The 21,559-nt window shown below is 39.8% G+C and overlaps 1 protein-coding gene and 1 long non-coding RNA gene across 61 annotated transcripts in view; one reads left to right on the top strand and one right to left on the bottom strand.

The window, feature by feature from the left end:
* The window catches only part of ST18 (ST18 C2H2C-type zinc finger transcription factor), a 299,042-nt gene that overhangs the window by 69,663 nt on the left and 207,820 nt on the right, over positions 1-21,559 (bottom strand). Inside the window, exon 10 of one of the 60 annotated variants that reach the window (NM_001352863.2) lies at positions 20,822-20,876. The exons of 58 other annotated variants lie outside the window; for them this stretch is intronic. The gene's annotated coding sequence lies outside the window, so the exon portion shown is untranslated. Of the gene's footprint in view, positions 1-20,561; positions 20,877-21,559 lie in introns of all 60 variants that reach the window. One more of the 60 variants, NM_001352868.2, reaches the window with a different exon arrangement.
* ST18-AS3 (ST18 antisense RNA 3) lies at positions 13,862-19,052 on the top strand. The gene is made up of 2 exons (NR_134310.1): positions 13,862-14,253; positions 18,649-19,052. It is a non-coding gene; the product is annotated as an ST18 antisense RNA 3 (long non-coding RNA).

Consider the following 21,559-nt stretch of genomic DNA (forward strand, 5'->3'; position numbering starts at 1 on the left):
TTATCAGAAGAATTTTTTTTTTTAAATCATCCTTAATCCTGAGTAAGCATATGTTAATCTGTGCTTTGCTTGGCACTACACTAAATACCCAGGGAGGGATGAAACAAGATTTGCACTGGTTTGCTAATCCTAAGAAACAGCTAATGTGAAAAATATACCACCAGATACAAAAAAAAAATGTGCCCAGTATGGATAAATCACAAGATTTTTCAAATAATTGTTTGCTACTGAAACTGCTTATCTCTGCCACAGTTGTGGCTCAAACTTGAAATGTCACATATCTTGGACTTTCACTTAAAAGAAAGGAGTACAGAGCAAGGGGGCTAGCTATGAACATCCTGTCTCCCCATCTCCAGTCATCAAACACAAAAAAAGTGGAAAGATGCTACATGGCATTCTGCCTTCTGATTCTCACTCACTTGGCACACAGAACAAATAAAAGGAGGAGAAATAAGATTGGATTTCACAAAAATGGACAACAGTTTATCCTCACTCCTGTTCTCATATGGTTTTATTTGGAAATGTTCCTGAGGGTGGCCCTTTCAAAATAGATTTCCTACATATAGCTCACTCAGAATTAATGCAGATCACTCTATGTGTGAAGTTAAGACAAACATTCTCTTGGCAAGATCCATGAAAATCAGAGGGTTTGGCCAACTGCGAGTCTATAAGAGATATTTATTAAATGTACTTTGAAGAAAAATGTGGAGCTTTAGATGAAAAGATCCAGAGAAGAGAATCCTAGACTCAGAGTAAAAGGATATGACTTACTCCATCTCTAAAAGATGACTAAATCCTCAGGAATATTACTAAATAAAGAAAGGCCTTAAACCATTATTTTACAAACATCAACGCAAAAGATGGTGCCTATTCGTGAAAATGATTCGGTTATAGTCACACAGGAACTCTTGGCTTTAGAAGAGTAGGTTCAAAAACTTCCAATGGGGGTAAAAGTGTCATTTCTTCTAAGAAAGAAGAAAAAAGATCCTGGAAGAAGCAATAATTAGACAGCTGGAAATGTCTTTAAGAAGATTAAAAAGTATAGAATTAAAAATCACCCTGATAGGTAATAGGTAAAAGAAGAGTGAAGTTTCTAAATCAAGCAATGTGCTTTCACAAAACTTCTCTGATGAACCTAAATGTAAAGTAACCAAGTACAGAATATGGAGCAAAATGGAATATAACCAGATGACTGTGGGAGCAAACACCACCATGATAAGAAGATGGGGCAGGAAGTGAGGACCAACATGGACTGCTCTGCTCATTTGTCAAGGAAAATACAAGTCCACACCGTAGATTATGATGTAATGAGAGCCAGCACAAAGAAGCGGAAACACCTTTACGCTTGCCTTCTTTGTCAAAGGAGACTGGCTTTGAGGGGCTGAACAGGGAGGCAGAAGAAACAGATCAAAGGGGCATAGAGTTCCTAGAGAAACTCTAGGAACCTCTTGAACCTCCTGAAGAGAGTATAATAACTGTGTCAGTGTAGGATGAAAAGGATAGTTAAAGTATCCTGAGTCAAATGAATTTCCACCAAAAAAAATCCTTGCAAAATATAAAACTAAGATCATTAAGCCATTATCATGAGCCAAGATTTGTAGCAAATGGGAGAGGCTCCTACGTCATTCAGATATTAAAGCAGGGAAAGGAAGTGGATTCTAAAAATCATAGTAATTGAAGCATAACATTGGTATTGGGAAAACAGCTAACAAAGGATATTAAAGTGAAGATGTTTCAGGATCCCGATTTCAATTCTTTTACATAAATACCCAGAAGTGGGGCTGCTGGATCATATGGTAGTTGTATTTTTGAGGAACATTTGCCCAGTTTTCTATGTTCATTGAATTTCTATGTTCATTGCAACTATCCCCAATAGCCAAGATGTGGAAACCACCTAAATGTCCATGAATAATTGACAAATTGATATGTGGTGCATACATACAATGAAATACTCTCCATTCTTTAAAGAGAAGGAAATATTGTAATATGCAACTACATAGATGAAGCTTGAGGACGTTATTCTCAGTGAAATAAGCCAGACAAATGAAAGACAAATGCTGTGTGACTACACTATAAGTATCTACAATAGTCAAAATTGTAAAATCAGAGTGGGATGGTGGTTGCCGGGGGATGAGGGAGGGGGAAATGAGAGTTACTAATCAAACAGGCATAAAGTTTCAGTCAAGCAAGATGAATTAGCTCTAGAGATATGCTGTTCAACACTGTACCTAGAGTCAACAATAGTGTACTTCACACTTGAAAATGAGCTCTCATGCTGCATGTTCCATAACAGGACTGAAGAAGGAGGAGAAGGAGAAAGAGGAGATTTATTTTTTGGCATCAGGAAGCATTGATCAATGAGACCTCAGGTGGCAGGGATGGTTAATAAAAAAATTGGTCATTAAAAAAAGTCATTTCTGACTTTGACGACTGCGGTGATGAATGGGCCTGAACTCATACTGACTTTAAGATCCTTACAAACTGTATCTTGTTAATATCATCATCCAAATTTACTTATAAAAACGAATCACATTAACTGCTAGTAGTGGGGCCAATATTTGAATCCAAGTCTATAGGGCTCCAAAGCTCACGTCCTCTCCTCCATTTTACTACATAAGGACATAGATGTGGGTGATTTCTGTATGCATTTGACAGTTGGTTAGAGTAGAACCTGGATGAAACAGCAACCTCTCTAACTAGAAGAAAGATGCCTGCCACAGGACCTTGCCCACTGATTTGAGTGAGGATATACACAACAGTCATTCAGCCTGAAGAAGATACTGAGTTGCAGCAATGAGAAACACCTTGCAAAGTAATAAACTAAGACACTCCCAAAATGTCCATAGCCTGGGGCAGGAGAATGAACCTAATGAGATGGCAGTTGAAGACTATAAAAATAAAGTTCAAGATTTGGGTCCAAATAATAACTGTGTGAGTGTAGGATGAAGAGGATATGTAAGGTTTTTATCAGAACTAAAAGTTTAGCTTATAATAAGCTATTGTATTTGATAATAAGAGTATGTGAAATCACTTAAGTAATACTAGCTGTGTAATCTGCAACAGATAGTTAAATTTTTGGAATATCAAATTCTTCATCTACCAAATGGAAATAATAACTTCTATATCACAGGTTTTGTGGATAAAAGAGATAACATCTGTGCTAGTAGTGACAAAAATAGGTAAAGATGGAACTGTCTTGGCTCCCAGCTCAGGGCTCTCTGGACTCCATCAACACTGGCTAATGCAGCATCGCAAGCTTTCTCCCTGGCACGCTACAGAGATTTACGCAATGCATGTATGTCCATAAAGGCATTCTACTTTTTAACATATTATTTATATTTACATAAATTGCATTAGATTTACACATAACATTTGCTTTAAATCTCACATTCTGTGCATTTCTCCACTGGAAAATACCCACGGCCCAGGCAGCATTTGGAGCTGAAATGAAAGGCTTTATAATAAATATTACTCTTTGTGTGTGCATGGAAAATGGTCCCTTTTCCTAGTTTTCCCTGAGGGCACACTATTTTGGCTTTATTGTGACACTTCACTGTGACACTGCAATGAGGGAAAGCCATGCTTTACATGTCACTGAGAGAAATGCCACAAAATGCTAACATATCTTCTCAAGGTTGCCAGAAATCATTTCCACTGGGTTGTGTTTTCCCATCTGCGGAGCTCTGAAATGTTAAGGAAATAAATGAGCTCTATTATCTATATTTTTCTAGTAGATGAAAAAGAAGAGAAAAAATACACTCAGCCCTGCATTTATTGTTCTATTCAATCAAACTGTTGCTTTAAACATCCAGCGTCCCCCAGGAAACTTTATCAATGCAGCAAATATCTTTCAACTCCATACTTTTCAAGTTTTGACTGTATTAAAATCTATTTAAAAGATCTGTATTTTTTACCTGAAACTTTTTGATTATATATTTGAGAAATATACCTTTTACTTAGAAACTTGAATTCTCATTTGAAATGATATTCCCTTTGACACAATAGTTGAATGAAAATTTTTTTGAAAAATCATTGAAGCAAACCATAATTAGATAACACTAGTGATCAATTCTGCACTGGAAGTATGTTTAGAAGTCAAATGTGTTGACCTTTCAGGTTTCAGAAAAGATACATTAGGAAACTGTGAATCCTCCACATCTAGAGTTTTCAACTTACCTACTATAGTAATAAATTCTCAATGAAGTTTTCAGAAGTTATGTAACATAGTTTTAAAATGTAGGTTCAGCAATAGATACATTCTGGGCACACATCCCCAAAAGAATAAAATGCAAAAATAAACAGAGATTGTGAACCTCTGAGTCCAAGGAAAACACTTACATGCTTCAAAATTTTCATGGAAAATTCATAGCAGGTATTCCTACTGATTTCTTCTAATGAGACAGAATACCACAGATTCATTGAAAGGGGCCAAGAAGTATGAATCTGAATTAAGACTAAGAAGATTGACAGAAAAGAAACAAAGTAACAAAGGTATGATGATTGAAAAAGAAAAAATTAAACTATTATTATTTGTAGAGGTATGATTATGTTTGAGGAAAATCCAAAGGAATCTACAGATACAATTTAAAAACAAGTAAATTTAGTGAGTTCACTATTCAAAAATTCATTTTACTTCTATAAACCAGCCACAAACAATTAGAAAATAAAAATTAAAAAACATTTACAATAGCATAGAAATATGAAATACCTAGGAATAAATCTAACAGATGTACAAACCTATACACAGTAAAGAACATAGTGAGAAAGCTAGTGAAGGCCTAAATAAATAGAGAGATGCAAAGTGTTCATGGATGAAAAGACTCAGTATAGCAATTTCAACTCTCCCCTTCTTTATCTATTAGATTCAATGCAATTCCTACCAATACCTCCAGAGGATATTTCTTAGAAGTTTACAAGTTAATTCTACAATTTCTGTGGAAATGAAAAGAACCAAGAAGAGCAAAGACAATGTTGGAAAAGAACAACAAAGTTGGAAGCCTTACAATGTTGAATGTCAAAACTTGTCATAAAACTGTAGTAGCTGAGATGAGGTATTATTGGTGCAAATATTAAAAAAAACAGACCAATGGAACAGCATAGATGTTCCATTTATTGGGTCCAGAAATAGACCCACACATACACGGTCAACTGATGACAAAGGCATCATTGGGCAAAGGGTTGTTTCTTCAGTGAACAGTGCTCGATTAATTGGATATCTATCTGAAAAAGAGATCCCTCTACTTGTACCTCACAGTGTACACAATAAACTCCAGAAGGATGGCGAATTTGCACTGTAAAATAATAAAACTTCTAGAAGAAAATGTGAGATATTACCTTCAAAATGTGAGATAATATCTTCACGACCTTGGGGTAGGCAAAATTTTCTCAAGCAGTTTATAAACAACACTAATTTAAAGGAAAACACTGACAAATCAGAGCACATTAAAATGAAAAACTTTCATTTATCAGAAGTTGCCAACCAGTAAGGGGAGCCTCCTATTAACATTCCATTTCTCCATCCATTTACACAAGCACTGTGAGGTTGTGAAGAGCCATGAGCCCCGCTTCTTGATATGCATACTCTTCTATATGTATGTCATGCTGTATGGTTTTCCAAAGACCATTAAGAGAGAAGAAGCAAGCCAAAGAGTGGGAGAAGGTATTTGCAGTACCTACATCAAAAAATAACTTCTATACAGAATATATAAAGAATTCTTCCAAATAAACAAGAAAAGACAGACTGCCAATTTTAAACCTAGGCAAAGTACACGGGCAGTCACTTCACAAAAGAACTTTTGGCTGATACACAAATGCAAACGTGCTCAGATTCTTTCGTCTCCAGGGAAATGCAAACACCTACACTTAGGTACTGCTCATGCCAACTGGGATGGCTAAAATGAAAAGACCGACAAACCCCAAATGTCGGTGAGGATCTCAGGCAACTGGAACGCTCATACACTGCTAGCACAGGTAAATCGGTATGGCTGCTTTGGAAACTGCTCAACAGTATCTACTAAAGGTGAACAGATGTCTACCCATGGCCCAGAAATTCCATTCCTAAGTACACACCTGAAAGAGCCATGTCCATATATGCACAAAAGGTATGTTCAATAATATTCACAGCAGTAGTCTCTCCCATACCGGAAACATCGCATAGTCCTTTGACTGCAGAATGAATAAAAGACGGTAGAATATTCATGGCTCTGAATACGCTAGCCGTGAGGAAAAGGCAATTGTTGCTACAAATAACACGGATGAATCCGATACACATATGGTTGAGTCAAAGAATCTAGGCAATGAAAGTGCATACATAATGTCCAAAACCAGCACAATTAGTCGATGAAGGCGGAGTCAGGGATGATGACTTTTGTGAGGGTCACAGCTGTGGGAGGTATGAAGGAAATGGCTGGGATGCTGATAAAGTCCTGTTCCTTGTTCTGGTGGTGGTTTCATGGGTATGTTCATCTAGTGGAAACTCACAAGGCTATACATACATAAGTTGTGAATTTTTTGGATATGTTTTATACTTCAATAAGTTTACTTAAAAAAAAAAGAGTCTTAGCAGGTCCATTTGCAGCCTGGTATAATGTTCAGCCAATGTGAGCTGCAAATTTCTTTGATTACCGAAAGTATTTATAGACTAAAGTCAAAGGTCCTGACTTTAATTGTAGGTTCTAAACCCAATAGAGCCAATGATAACAGGTAAGATTTAGTGAGTACTTGCAATGTGCCAGGGAGTGCTCTAAATTATTTACATGTATCAGCCCACTGGATTCTTGTAATAATATCCTGAGGTTGGTACTATTATATCTCTAAAGCTCAGAGAGGTTGATTTGTCAAATATAAAACAGCCATTAATGAAAGAGTCCAGATTTGAACTCAGGCAGTCTGGACCTAAATCATACCTACAATTATTTAATACTGTCCTTGAAACTATCCATATCATACTATTCAATGATTTAATGAGCAGACTTGCTCCAGTGAGTGAACACAGCCAATGATGGAAGAATATAAAAAGCTTTCCAAATTAACAGTCTTACTTTGTAGAGGCCAATTGTTGAACTTTATTTGGTTTAGAATTACAGTCCTCAACTTTTTCTTAAAGGATAATAGATCACTTTTTTGAGATACTGATGGGGAAAATTTTCCTTGACCTAGGAAAGGAAAGGCATTTTTCATTTACTAAATCTAAGATGAGCTGTGATTAAAGAGAGGTGATCCTTTTTGCTTTTTGGTTGAGAGTTTGTCTTGCAGATGTTCTCAATGGTATCCGTATGTACATTTGGCCTAATTACCCAATACATAAATTAAAGAACCATGTCTGAGTTAATTTGCATTTCTATACCACATTTCTAAAACAATTGCAATCTATACTTAAAATAATGATTATTAATTAATGCAATTGATCTTTAATTCCTTTTGCATACTTCTAGTTAAAACAAAACTCAACAATTATTCAGCAAAATCAATGTATATGGACAGTACTATTTTTCCAGCTTATATTACTTTGGAAATATTCACTTATTCAATAAATACGTAATAAGTGCTAAATAAACATTTATTTATCAATGTCGTAAGTTTTAAGGATATAGCATGGAATAAAATTGAAAAAGTGTCTCTCTTCCTAGAGTTTTATTATGGAGAAAAGAGATAGAAAATCCTTAAATTGAGTAAAATACATAATATGTTTGAAGATGTTTGCTTTGGAAAAAATACAGCAGAGAAGCGAAACAGGAAATATATGCTAGCAAAGGATCAGAGTTTGAGATCATGTGGTCAGGAAAAGCCCCATTAAGAAGACTGAATTTTAGTAAAGATCTCAAGGAGGTTAGATAAGGGAGAAAATGCAGAAACAGTGGGGCACAGGATTGCAGGCAGCAGAAACAGCAGGTGCAAGGGCCCTGAGATAGCACCGTGCAAGGCACATCTGAAGGCGAACACAAAGGCTCAGGCACAGTGAAGGAGGAGGAATAATAGGAGATGAGGTCAGAGAAATAATGGATTCAGATTATGCTGAGAACTACAGACCATTTTAGGAACTTTGACTCAGTGAGATTTGAATACGTTGTAGTGTTTTGATAGAGTGACGGGCTGATTTGTATTTTAGGAGGACTATTCTGGCTTCCATGTTAAGAACAGTTGTAGATAGAAGGTTAGAAACAAGGAGCATGGTCAGGGATTATGGCAATAAACCAGATGAGAGATGTGAGTGATTTGGATTGTGGCTGTACTAGCAGTGGTGATGAGAACTGGTGAGATTCTGAATACATTTGCAAGAGAAAGCAAATGGAATTATGAGAGATTAGATGATGGATGTAAAAGAGAGTAAAGGGTCAAGAATGCCTACAAGGTTTTTCTCTTAAGAACTGGAATCATGTAGTTACCATTTCTGAGATGGGTAGGACTTGCAGAAGCAGGATTCACAAGGGTTGGAGATTGGGAGTTCAAACTGGAGCACGTTAAACTTGCAATGCCTACTGCATATGGTGACAGAATCTGGACCTTTTGATTGACACACTAAGAAATATAAAATCCTAAGAGTGCCCTGGATCCTCTGAGCCATAAAATTAGTCCCCTTCTCCCTGCATCACACTGGAGATGATGAATACATGCTTCCATCTCCCCTCCTTGCCCCCAAACAATAACCAACATCATCACACCACAGCATCTGGCTTTCTAAGAGTAGAAAGGGTGCACAGGCCAAAAGGAGCTGCAGGATCTAGCTCATATGTATGGCAGGAGCTAGAGGTGTACAGACAAGCTGGATCCTGAAGGTGCTGGATCAAAGGTATGGAATATCAACTTGGATAAGGGAAAGTTGATGGCAAGCCAACTCCCATGCTGGATTGGCATTTGAAAGCCTAGAAAAACAATGGCCCACACTAATCAGTGATTCCAGAACTGCCATTACAAAGGATAAAGAAGGGATCAAAAGATTCAGAGAAGTGGACATTCTAGGATAGATACCTTCCATAGGCCAGGAAACCCATCCCAATGAAAATCGATGATTCTTGGCTTTTTGTCTCTGGGCCTGAAGCAGTTCTTAAACTCAGAACCCAGTGATTGAAAGAGAAGAGCCATGTCCTTTCAAGGAAGTTCCCAATGGTGAAGGTCTCCCTAGTCTCTTTTCTTAAGGACCTATGGTCGTTTACTTGGAGAACAATTACCCTGGGGAAAAAAGACTGCACAAGCATTCACGGACTATTGCACTTATTGTCCGAGTTGATACCTAGGGACTGAAGCTTCATCATGGCCCTTTGATAGAGTGGGAGAATATGGGGGCAGATCACAAATGAAAACCTGTCCCAGGGGGTGTCCTGGCTTCACAAATCTTTCTCATGGGTGTACTACTGGTCTCTGCATGTATAATTGGTGCAGATACATATTGGCTTCTTGGCTAGTGCGGTAGGAGCTAATAAAGTGAGACCCACAAATGAAATCCTCTAAAACTTCTCCCATTCTGTTACCAGATAGTAGATTTAAACATTATATTCTAGATGGAATGGCAAACATTAGTACAGGTTGGGTATCTCAAATCCAAAGATTCAAAATGCTCCAAAATTTGAATTTTGGGGGCACTGACATGATGTCACACATGGAAAATTCCACACCTGACCTCATGTGACAGGTGCATTCAAAACTTTGTTTCATGCACAAAATTTTAAAAAATATTGTATGGAATTAACTTTAACCCATGTGTAAAACATGTATATAAAACAGAAATGAATTTCATGTGTAGACTTGGGTCCCATTCCCAAGATACCTCATTATGTATATGCAAATATTCCAAATTCTGAAAAATCCAAAATCCAATACACTTCTATGTCCCAAGCGTTTCAGATAAGGGAGATTCAAGCTGTACCACCCTTAAACTTATAGGATGCATGGCTGATGGTCCCTATCATTTTTTTTCCATTTAATTAACCAGTGTGGACCCTACAAGACTGATCCTGGGGGCCGACAGTGGACTGCCATCACGTCAAACAAGTACTGATCCCAACTGCAGCTGCTATGCCAAAATATGAGATCTTTGCTTTAGTGGATTAACATACACTCAAATGCATGTTTTGCAGTCCCTGACATGGTAAATGTGTTCTTTTCCATCTCTATCGGAAGCAGAACCAAGAGTAGTTAGCATTCTAATGATGAGATCATGCAGAGCTGTGATCTTGCTGAGGGCTGTGCTAACTGCTATCCTTTGTCAGGATATAGTTTGAAGGGACCCGGAGAATCTGGATAACCCACAGACCATCCCATTGTAAATGTTGTTGATGATACCATGCTAAGGAGAACAGAGAAGCAGGAGGTGGCAAGTATTTTGGAGGCTTTGACAAGACATCTGTGTTTGAGAGATGGAAGATAAGTCGAACGAAGATTCGGGGCACACCATATCGGTGAAGTGCTTAGGGGCTCAGTGGTCTGGGGCATTCTGGCATATGCCCACTTATAACAAAGGACAAATTATTGCATCTCACACTTCCCACCACTGGGAAGGAAGCATAATATCATATTGGCTATTTTAGGTTCTGGGGATAGCATATTCCACACTTGGGACTACTGCTCTGAATCACACATTGAGAGACAAGGCCAGTTTTGGCTGCATAGCAAGTCCAGGCTGCAGTGTGGGAAGCCCTGTTGCTTGGGCCATACAACCTGGTAAAGCCAATGGTTTGTTTAGAGGTATCTGTGCTCAGAAAAGATGCCGATGGAATTCATGGCAAGGTCTAATAGACAAATCAAAATGCAGACCCACAGGGGACTGGAGCAAGGCCATGTCATGTGCAGCAAAGAATTATGCACTGCTAGAAAAACAGCCCTAGTAGAGACAAAATCCCTGACCATGATGTCAGAGCCAACCATCATGAACTGGATTCCGTTAGACTCACCAAGTCATAATGTCAAGCAGGCCCAGAAACAATCCATCATGAGATGGAAGGTCCAAAATTCGGCTGAAACAAGTCTAGTGGGAACAAGCAAGCCATATGAGCAGGCAGCCCAGACCTGTGACATCCACCACAGTGGCGGGAGTACCTCACCCTCAACTACCACATGCAGGGCATGTGCAGGCTTCTGAATAACAGCTATGAAGAAAAGAAAAGGAAGAGTTAGTTCGTACATGGTTCACCTCAGCATCTGAGTTCAGTGTGAAGTTGGTCAGCAGGTCACAACTTAAGGGTGAGTCTGAGAGGAGCAGAGAGAAGAAATCTTCCCAATGGGCAGAGATATAGGGAAGGGCTCAGGTGCAGCTGGTTCTCCACTTTGCATGGAGAGAAAAGTGCCTGAGGTAAGAAAATATGCGGGCCCATGGGCAAAGCGAAGAGCTTAGCTAGTCAGGCAGGGACAAGGAGATGAATGGTTTAACTGGAATATCAGGGAACAGGAGGTCTGAGGAAGAGGCATGTGGGTGAACTTAGGAGACTGGGGGTGAAATGGGAAGGTCTTAATTTTGCATGACAACAGGCACTGAAGGGCATTTACCAGAGGAGGCATTAATCCACCCACAGACAGAACAACCTGGCCAGGTGGAGTTGTCTAGTCTGTTTTCAAGCTTCCCAGGGCTGGCACAGAGGGGTCATTGATGGAGTAGCATTAGTGGCAGGGATTGGGGCATTGAACAGGCCCAACAGCATAGGCTCTCACTAAGACTGATGTAGCTATGCCCACAGCCCAATGTCCAATCTGCCTCCAAAAGAAATCAATGCTGACAATGAATCCTCCCAACATGGCACCATTCCTGGAAGAAACCAACCAACCACTGGACCTTTCCACTGTAGAAGGGGCAGTAACTGAACTTGATTGGAACTGACACAAATTCTGGGCATGGATTTGCCTTCTCTGCCTTCAGAGCCTCAGCCAGGACCATATCTACCTGAGGTCATGCAGAGTGTCTGCTCTACCAACAGGAAATCCTCATGCATCTCCCTGGACCAAGGAACCCACTTAGGAAAATAACCATGGAAATACAATCATAAGATTCACTGATACTATCACACACCACAGAGCCCAGAAATTGCTAGCCTGATGGAGCAGGAAAATGGCCTCATGGAGGCATAGCTGAGAGGCTAGCTTGGACGTGACACCTACCAGGATGAGTGTCTTCCTGAGAGGCATCATGCCAAATAAAAAATCATTACAGAATGTGATGTCTTCGGCAGTTTAAATACAAGGATCCAAGAACAAAAAAGGTACAGTTAGGAGGAGCTTGGTTTACCATAATTTCCAGTGACTACTTAAAGGATTTGTACATTCATTACTCCAAATCTAGGTCCTGTAGGTCTGAGGATCTTGGTTCCCAAGGGGAGAATGCTTTCACTAGGGTACACAGAAAGAGTCCTATTCAACTTTGAGCTCAGACTCCTTTTCTGTCACCTGGGTTCTTGTTGCTGAGAGATAACAGGCAAGGAAAATAGATACCGTCCTGGCAGGAGTCACTGACCCTGGTCACTGGAAGTTGTAGGGCTGGGGGCTTATTACATATTGGGACAGGATATATATAGCACCCAAGTGATCCACTGGGGTATCTCTTTACTGTTTCTGGCCCAAACTTGTCAGCAAATCAACAGGTTAGCAGGCAGAGAATCTGAAGGTCATGGTGACCAAGGGCTCAAAGGATCTGAGTCGTGCAACCAAGTAAACTGTCTAGATCAGCAGAGGAACTTGGCAAGGATGAAGGGAATGGGTAGAAGTATAGGTAGATAATGAAGTTAATATACAAAGCAAGTATAAAAGGATTCAAGCTGGAAAGGTGTAGATGTCTGTGTATACCATGGTATGCACCTCCTCCTCCCTTCAGGACTAAGGTACACATCTTCCCTACTGGCTGAAAGTGTGGGGAGCTGATGGGCGTTAGCTGAATTCACTTCTGAAAATTGCCCTCAACCTGAGAGCCATTTAACCCAAAGTCCCATCTCCCTGGGACAGCCCATATTCACACTTGCCTCAAGGCAGGACCGACTCTGAAGAGGAATCTATCACCAAAGCTCTTGGCAGAGTTGGCTAAGCCTTCCATAGAACCTGCACTGCAATTCAACTTCTCTCTGCCCAGTCCCGCTTCCCTCACATCTGACAGGTACTGCTCCCTGGCAGGCTGTGCTGCGTGATACACAATCTGTACATGGCTAACTGGACTGTATTTTTAGGAAATCAGGAGACAGGACCCTGGGGAAAAGTTACAGTCTTGTGCATTCATCTGAAATAGGCCTTGTGATTCCTAAGAGAGTTAACGGGCCACTGTAAATGACAAATTCACTTTTACCCAGTGAGGACTGTGAAGCTATTGCTCATTCTGTAAGGATAATCCCTGAACTTCATGAGCCAACTCTCTCACCTATGTCTTAGAAACTTTGTGACCACACTCATGTTTACCGAGCTACAGTGTGTCCAACAGTTAAACCTATAATTGAAGCCTTCTCCTATTACTCATGTCATAAATTCAGCGACTAATAAGTTGTTGCTATTTATTGATGGTTGGTTTGCTGTCATGGAACACTGATTCCATTGACAAGGTTATCTGATAACGTCAGGTTTATAAAAGGGGAGAATTTTTTTTCCCGTAAGGCCAAAGCTAATAAATGCTTTTTTTTCTCATTTAGTTGGGACTAAGTTTTATAAATAATAAATTAATTGCATATCGTCTACCACAGAATTTTTTTCATAAAATAACCAAGCCATTAAAAGATACAATTTAATAACAACGAGAGGAGTAACAGGAAATTTCCTCTGAATCGTGAGGTAATAGTAGGTAAGTGGGGTTCCCCAGCTGCCACTTCACACTGGGTGAATAGACCTTCCTTTGTGATGTAATTCCAGTGACAGCGTCACAATACACTGCTTCTATGCCAGCAAGGCATTTGGCATTCACCTTGATTATAAACCTTATCTCTCTACACTATAATCATCTTCCCAGTAACCTGGAAACACCTACAAGAGAACAGAAACTGTTTCTTGCTCCTTTTTATATCTCTGGTGCATAATATGAGGTCTGTGTGTTAGGAGCATGCTCAGTGAAAGACCACTGAAGTTGAGCCCCACCCAGATGTGAGCATATGAAGATGAATGTTGGTGAAAGCATGCGTCTTGCATCTGGAGAACTGCCTTCCTCCGGGAGAGCCATCAACAACCACCCATTACTGTGCAGATGATGGGACTAACTTCCCTTATCCATGTGGGCTTCTCTGCCCAGCTCCCCGCCACTGAGGATGTGTTTTTGCAAGACAGTCAAAGAAGAGACAAGAAGTAAGCCAGCAGAAGCCGGTGAGCCAAGTAACCCTAACTGGTCCACACAAAGATTGACTGAATGACTCCAACATCATGAACTGATCAGTTCCAAAGTCTACTCTTCAAGAACATGAACAATCATATCATTTTAAAGATAATTTAATCCTCACATGGACCAAAGTTTTTAAAGAAACAACTATTCAATCATCGGCTAAAACACAAAATTATACACCAACATTTGAAATACCATTCAATATAAAATATAAATAAATGTCTTTCAATTTATACTCAAAGACAATATGTTTTAGTTAAATCATTTGGGCACTCCCAAACTCCTTTTAAGTGCCCAGAGATTGACAGAGCAGTTCAGCTACTGCATAGCCATGGATTAGCTATACAATATAGAAACAGGATCTGGCTTCTTCAAAAACGTAATATGATGGATCATAGGGATGTACCCGGAAGAGCAGAAGTTGAATATAATAAGATAAAATTAGAAAATTGAAGATACTAAGAGATGAACATTATGTGGATTTTAGAATCAAGATACTGAAAGAATTCAGATACAGACATTTATTACTATTTTTGTTTGCTAGTAAATTTGGCTTCAATAAAGCCCACACTGTTATTTTAATTTGAGTAATACTTCAAAATACTTTCTTTTGAGTATATAATATAATAAAATATATGTGACTTTATATTTATTTTTCAAACAGTGTTATAAAACTTAAAAACTATTAGGAAAAATTAAACATAAATTATCTTATTTTGATCATAAAGAAAGATAAAAATAAAATTCACTTAGTTTATGAATATTTGCCTTACCAAAATCATAACTATATTTGAGGAAGGAATATTTAAAATAATCTTAAAAAAACTTTTAAAGAAGATTATTGCAACATCTTAATTGATCTTGGATAAGTACTGGGTTTTATTATAGATTGTATCTGCTAAAAAATATTAAATGTGGTTGAGTAACAGAAGCACCTTAATCATCTAAGGTAATCATATGCCAGTTAAATAAATGTATAGAATTGAGTTTAAAGTGCCTCAATTTTACCTTAACTAACTTGGTGAATAATCTAAATTCTCTTTTTTTTGCTTGAAGTTTGTATTTCTAACCAAAAAATAAAGTAAAACAATAAGAGCTGTGAAATGCCACAATAATGGGGGATACAAGTATTGTACTTTATTTGTATATATCATCTCAGCATGTGATCAGACCACATAGATTCCACTTTTTGTAAATTCACAAACATCTAGTTTTAGAAGAAAATAAAATGTTCCCTCATTTAGTATTTCATCTAATTTGAAATAGCAATCACGTTACCAAGCAGAAATTTTATTAGCAGAATATGCTTGCAAAAAAATGGTTAATTAAAAGCAAAAATGACTTGGGTGCTGCTTAAGCACAGAAGTAGAGGTTTGGGGGCAGAGGATAGGATTGGGAGGTGCCCTTGTCTCTCCCCTTCTTTTCTCCCACCTGCCTAGGCTGGGTCTACAAGGTTGCTCCTGGGTCAGTGGAGGAACCAACCATGCCAGCTCAGTTTTTCCCTGAGAGAAAGTTTGGTAAGCCCTAAACCTCACACTTAAAAGAAAAAGAAACCTTAAATACAAGTATCTTCATATTCTTTTCAAATCACTCCCATGAATGATGCAGAAGCTTCATTCACCCCACCACGTAATTCACATCCTCTGTTTTTATTTGGCGAATGCCTGCATTCGTCCTGTGAGGACTGATGTCCCGTGTCTCTTCTCCCTGATTTCATACTGTAGTCCCCCCTTGTCCGTGCTTTCATTTTCCATGGTTTCAGTTGACTGTAGTCAACCGAGGTCTGAAAATAGGTGAGTATAGGACAATAGGTATTTTGAGAGAGAGACCTCATTCATATAACTTTTATTGCAGCGTATTTTTATAACTGTTCTATTTTATTATTAGTTATGTTGTTAATGTCTTTATGTGCCTACGTTATAAATTAAACTTTATCATAGGTATGTATGTATAGGAAAAAACATAGTGTATATAGGGTTTGGTACTAGCTGAGGTTTCAGGCAGCCACTGGGGTCTTGGAATTAACCCTTTAGGAGAAGGAAGCCAACTGTCACTCATGCATAGCACAGGTCCCAGGGCCTCCTGGAGGTAAGGGCTATTTGCTACGTCTTCTAGGCACTGTGGAAACACTTTTTGCAGTTTGAGGAGAAATGGAACCCTTGCATACATACTTCCAAGAAAAGGAGAAACAGTTAACTTTGTCATAAAAGTTGGAGTTCAAAGTAAATTGCAGTTATTTTATAAACAAAATAAGAATTTTACATTTTAATGGAGGTTGTTGAATAGAATGCAGAACCAAAAGCCAGGTCCTAGCAAAGTCCATTTCAAAATTCTACTTCGGCTCTCAGTGTTGAATGGGGACATTGGAACATAGTAAGTGACAGTGATTGTAAAATACTTAGAAAAATATCTGCTGCAAAGTTACTCTTAAACAAAAATAACAAAGGCAATGAATATTTTATTCATGTACCTAAACTTAAGTTTATGTGAATTATCCAGACAACTCTGGGTGTGTTGGGGAGGTTATTGTGGACAACCTAAAAAAATTATCTCTGTAACACATCATGTCCAAATCCATCAAATACTAAGTTCCTATTTACGTTTGTGAAGCAGGCACAGCCTTACTAATGAAAACGATCTCATTTATTCACAAAGTAAACATCATTAGCTGATGACAGGGTTTGGAGCTTCTTTGTTACTCTGGGTCAGTCACCCCCAGAAGCACTCAAACCAGGGCCACATATGTAAAATTGAGTTAATTTAGGAGGGCTTTAAGTGAAGACCAGGAAACATAAAGGTCTAATTAGTACGGTAATGAATAAAGTACAGATGTCCTTCTGTTCTCTAGCATGAACACTTAGAGTAGAAATCTGAAGAAGGAAAGATAAAATAAAAAGAAGGAACAGTGAGAAAGAGTGGGTAAGATGGAAGAAAACAGAAAGAATGAGGGCAGGGAGGCCAAAAAGAAGGAAGGGAAAGAAGTGTGCACATGTCACAGTTACATAGTCAAAAGCTAGCAGAAATACAGACACAGCACAACCCTCAGAGAAACAGCCTAGAGGGCAGACACGAGAATAGAAGATAGAGACCCACAGAGGGAAAACAGCAAAACAAAATGAGCACACACACACACACACACACACAAATACAGAACTTCTTCAGTAATATGAGCAATATAGTAATTTTCTGGCTTTTTAAGTTACTAAGACAAAAGGCGTTTTAAAGACCATGTGGCTGTTTTATTTGTTTGTTTGTTTGTTTTTGAGACGGAGTCTTGCTCTGTCACCCAGGCTGGAGTGCAATGTGCAGTGGCGCGATCTCGGCTCACTGCAACCTTCGTGATTCTCCTGCCTCAGCCTCCTGAGTAGCTGGGACTACAGGCACCCACCACCACGCCTGGCTAATTTTTGTATTTTCAGTAGAGATGGGGTTTCACCATACTGACCAGGCTGGTCTCGAACTCCTGACCTTGTGATCTGCCTGCCTCAACCTCCCAAAGTACTGGGATTACAGGCATGAGCCACTGCGCCCGGCCGTGGCTGTTTTATAACTACTATCATACATGTCAATTTCACTTCTTGACATTTACCCAAACACAGATGTTTGGCTCATAAATATAGGCTCCTTTTTTAGTTTTCTGCACACAAAAAACTAAAAACCTATAGATATACACAGGTTTTGCTAAATATGAATAAGACTTGTTTGATACTTGGAATGCTTCCGTTTATCCATCTCCACTTCACTGGAACATTGCATGAATCATTTAACAGAACTCGCTAACATACTGGAGTAATATTTAAAAGGAGGACCATGTGTTACAGTAGTCATGTGCATACTGAGTTAGCAGGGATCACCTACTTTGGTATATTATTATAATTATGTGTATATAAATGTATGTGTAATATCTCTATGTGTGAGTGTGTATATGTATATATATGTACACACACAAATCTGTGAAATGTTTCCGCAGCCAAGTGTCCTATTGAATTACAAATAACTTGAAACAGAAATAACCTGATAGAGAAGCACTCAACTGACAATGAAGCCTGCAAGCTCCACATATCACTTTCTGTAGCCCTAACCCCTTCCACATGTACCTGTGCCTTCCTCCACATGCAACACCAGAACTACTGACAAATGACACTTCCCCAGGCCCACCTCCTTCCAGCCCCACCACGGAGCTGTGGGCACCTGGAAGTCAGATAGGCTTAGCCCCAACACTGCTTCTGCCATGGCCTCATTGGTACTCATGGGGTGCCCTGATGTTTCCATTCACCAGTGGAGGTGGAAGTTGCCATTTTGCCAGTGCTTACATCCTAGTTTAAGCTTCCATTACATAACCTTTTTTTTTTTTTTTAACATTTCATATTCTCATTCAGGTTATTATACAACTGCTCTTTCTGGAGAATGCCAAAGCCATCCGTGACACGGTTCTGAGCCAGAATCTGTTCATCTAGACAACATGGACAGTAGCACCCACCTCCTGGTACTACAGATCAAGCAAGACAAGGCATTCAAAGGGGTCTGCACAGTTTCTGAGACACAGGCAATGCTTCAGGGCATGGAAGGGTTCAGGATGCTGTGTTTACCATTTGGCCCTCATGCTGGCTGGCTGGACTTCTGGGAGCTATCCTGCAAATGTAAATCATTACTTATAGGGCTGTTCCCGTGGTACACAGGGATCGTGGGGTTAAAAACCTGTCTGCAGCCTTGGTCTATTGTGTTGCCAAGAAATTGCCCTGCATCTGTTATAAATATAGAAATAAACAGAACATCAAACCTTTATTCATGAAGGCACAAAATTATAAAAATTGAGGGCATTTGGATCGTGAACTATAAGCTTAATTTTGATATATGATTTTCTGTTGCTTTTAAAAGATGGGGATATCTTGTTAAACATAGGCAAGTAGAAGTAAGTTCAAAGTAATGGAGAGAACTATGCTTCATATGTACTCAAGGAGCAATCTCTAGTCCTATATATCCTTGCTCCTTTGACCCATGGCCACCTAAACCCATAGCAAGCCAAGAACCAGGCTTCTGGAAGAGTTTGCCTCACACTGTTGTTTAGCTCATTTGCAAGGAGTGCCTGCTCTGTGACAGCAGAAGTTCCCTGGGCAATTTCTCTTCCTTCAAACTCAGGTCAAACCCCCAGCCAGAAGGAGCTGCTCATTCCACTGTGCTCCCTTATGTAAATGTCGTATAGGAATTACCGCAATGTGTTTTCATGACTTGTAGGCTGTTAGCTTTCAAAAACTATGAGTTCCTGTGTCTCATTCCAGTGCCTTCTATAGCACTCAGAACACATTTATTCAGTTTTTTTTTATTAGCTCCTATAATGTGGCAGGCACTATTCTAGATGTTGTGGATATTATCAATGAGTTAAGAGATTCCTGCTCCACAAAACTTATATTCTTATGAAAAAAAGACAGATTAGGAACAAAGTAAATAAGTAGTTGGATTGTGTGTCAAAAGGTGACAAATTTTTTTCATAAAAAATAAAGCAGAAGGAGAATAATAAAGAAGGCTGGAATAAGTGCTTGTAATTGCAAAGGCTAAGGTCAAGGAAGGTCTTGCTGACAAGGAGGCATTGAGCAAAAACCTGGTGCAAGTGAGCATGTGAGACTCGCAGCTGTGCGGGGAACAACATTCCAGACAGCAGGAACAGCATGCCAAGGCCTGAGGCTTCGGCAGGTCTGGGGGACCCAGCGCGGATTCTAGTTGGGTAGGGGGCAATGAACAGGGAAGGGAGACCAGGCCAGAGTAAAGATGTGGTCTTTTCCTTTAAGAAAGGGGAAACTCATCGAAGGGCTTCTGACTGTCTCGTGGAGTGAATCTTACATGAGGAAGAACAGAGGCAGGAAAGCCTGTAAGAAGGTGCTGACAGTGATTGGAGTGAGCCGCGATGGCTTAGGGGCCTAGTGACAGCAGCAGAGGTGGTGAGAAATGGTCAGATGGTAGATTTATTTTGAAGTTAGAGCCATCAGGATATTTGGACAGATCAGACATAGAGTCTGAAGAGAAGAGTCAAGGATGCCTCCAAGACTTTTGAATGTCCCCATTTACTGACACGGGAAGCAGGTGGGTATATCAATTCATGGCAGAAGATAATGATTTTAATTTTGAATACTCCTCAGGGATCCATTTGCAGATACTGTCCACACAGTTGGTTATATGAGTCTGAAATTCAGGAAAGAGAGGAGTGCTGGGGATGTAAAATTATGGACATACAAATGTACTGAAAGCCCCAATGAGATCACCAAAAGATCACCACCAAAGAGGATCAAGGACGCACCTTGGGGAATCCAGTGTCAGAGACTGGGGTGTTGAGAAACCAGCAAGGAGACCTGAGAAGATGCAGTCTGAGAGGTAGAGGAAACCAGGGAGGTTGCAATGTTGGGAAGCCAAGTTTCTTTGACAATGGCCAGGGTTGTGTGAGCCTTCCAGCTTTTCCTTCAAGAACGCAGAGCTTGCTGATCTTCCAGGACAGACTGTAGGCTCTGGGTCAGCTTCCAAAGACCAGGAGGATGGTCCTTAGGGGCTCGAGAGAATTACCTTGAGCACTTTGTGAGTCTAGGAGTCTACTTCTCTCTATTCTCACAGGGGCAATCTGGAAGAACAGAATTTACCCTGAGCCTCGACACTGGGGCAAAGGCAAACAGAATGCCCCTAGGGGCATGTTCCAACATTTCCCTATGCAGGGTTCACTCCCCTGCCCTGATTTGGCAGGAGTCCCTAGAAGAACATTCCCCACCCCAGCTTTGAGAACCACTCCCAGGTGAGCCTCCCGGAGTAGTTCCTGTAACTCAGGCAGAGAACCACAGTGAGAATCCTTAGAAACAAAAAACAAAAAAACAAAAAAACTGCTGTTCAGATGTGGCTCTTCGTCCCAATCTACACCATCCGTGCCTGGCTGCCCAGCCTTCAGTTTCGTCTAAGAGTTCCTGGGTCCTGGCAGTCACTTTGCTTCCTGACCCTGCAGTCTGAGACCACGCCCGTCCTCAGACTCCCTGGGCTGACCCCTTCCTACAAGCAGCTCAGGGATGGGCGGTGGGCTCATTGATTCCAGTTTTGTTTTCTCTTCCCATTTGAAAATGACCAAATGAGACCAAGTGAGACACTGGCAGAATTAAGGGCATCTCCCTTGTATGTCTGATACTTTGATAAAATATACTTATAAAGGAAGACCCTTATTGATTGCAGAAAAATGAATTAGAAACGATTAAACAGAGTAGGCTGATTCGTAGTTGAGGGGCCAATGGAAACTGCTGGCTAAACAGCCTTGGTTTTAAA

Source organism: Homo sapiens, chromosome 8, assembly GCF_000001405.40.
Source record: "Homo sapiens chromosome 8, GRCh38.p14 Primary Assembly".
In the NCBI taxonomy this organism is placed as follows: domain Eukaryota; kingdom Metazoa; phylum Chordata; class Mammalia; order Primates; family Hominidae; genus Homo; species Homo sapiens.